We start from the raw sequence: 1,251 nt of genomic DNA, 5'->3' as shown, positions 1-1,251 counted from the left end.
CCTGTAACCCCTACCTGATATCATTTGGGCCTCATGCCACACTGTTGACCTCATATGGGCACTGCAGGAGTCTGGTGACCAGAGGAAGCCAGCAAGTTCTGCTCAGGCCTCACTTTAGCTGCCGGGGCCCCCTTGGGGAGCTCTGAAAGTGGAATGGCCCATTTGCCTTGGAATGGGCTTCCCAGTTGTGGGGTGGTCTGCTTCTCTATCAACATAATCAAGATCAAGGCCAGGGAACCCAGCATGGACAGGCAGCTCCAGATGGCTAAGCTCCTTCCCCAGCAGAGAATGCTGCCGCCGAGGGACCCCCAGCTCCTGCAGCCCCTCTGGGTGGGCAGTTGTTTCTCCTGAGTCTTCTCCAAGCTCTTGGAGAGACTGAGCATACCCAGGGGCCTAGGGGCCACATAGAAGGAGAACAGCTGCTTGCCCCTGCTCATGACGGTGAAAGCAGAAACTCACTCACCCTCCCCTGCATGGGGACTGTGGGCATCCACACAGCCTGGCAGGACCTCAAACCCTCAGTCAGCCCAAGTGGATCATTTGGTGACATGTGGGCCACCTACCAACTCCCTGGACTTTATCTTGGTCATTGTTTCGGCCTTGCAGGGCTTGAGTGATTTGCAGACATGTCAAGACACCATGGTTTTAACTGGTCTTATGATAGCTGAGCCTAACCTGCAGTTGCAGCCTCCTTCCTGGAATGTTAGCATCAAATTCTTGCTCAACGCGGGAGTTCCATGAATTGCTTTGCTGCCGTGAATCACTCTAGGGAAATTTAATCTTGCTGCAAAAGAGGATACTTTCTCCAGAGTGTAGCTGTTCCTTTCCTTTCAATTTTGCTTTTTACTGTTGTTTCACTGTTGTTCCTTAGAATTCTATTTGTCTGAACTTTGTCATAGTGAAAACGCAACACATTTTAATTATTCTCTTGAATTTTCCCACTTGCAGAAGATAGGCTGTAAATGAGTGACCCCAATCCACCATTGCAGGGTAGGGATAACGCAAGTGTCAAAAATCGGAATCAATTCTAATGACCATGTTTCATCACTGACAGGCATGTAAACCTCAAACCAAAGCAAACTCTGAAAGCTGAAAAATGAATCATGAAACTCAGTAGCAAATCCCACCTCCCCTGGAGGTGAAGTAAAACCACATCAATGGCTCGGTATGAGATCAAGATGGTCAGTGGTTATAGGACAAGAGACCCACTTTGAGGGGGGAAAATAAAAGCTTTGACATCCTTTTAACAAG

The 1,251-nt window shown here is 48.8% G+C and overlaps 1 annotated feature.

The window, feature by feature from the left end:
* Window positions 232-773: an enhancer, noted in NCBI's record as "H3K27ac-H3K4me1 hESC enhancer chr9:92229340-92229881 (GRCh37/hg19 assembly coordinates)". NCBI's record gives its function as "activates a minimal SCP1, AML or CMV promoter by ChIP-STARR-seq in primed H9 embryonic stem cells {active_cell/tissue: H9 hESC(primed)}" and the evidence as "EXISTENCE:reporter gene assay evidence [ECO:0000049][PMID:30033119]".

The sequence above is a fragment of the Homo sapiens genome, chromosome 9 (assembly GCF_000001405.40).
Source record: "Homo sapiens chromosome 9, GRCh38.p14 Primary Assembly".
Lineage (NCBI taxonomy): Eukaryota > Metazoa > Chordata > Mammalia > Primates > Hominidae > Homo > Homo sapiens.
Note: the sequence above shows the minus strand (reverse complement) of the source record. Positions and strands in the feature narration are given on the sequence as shown.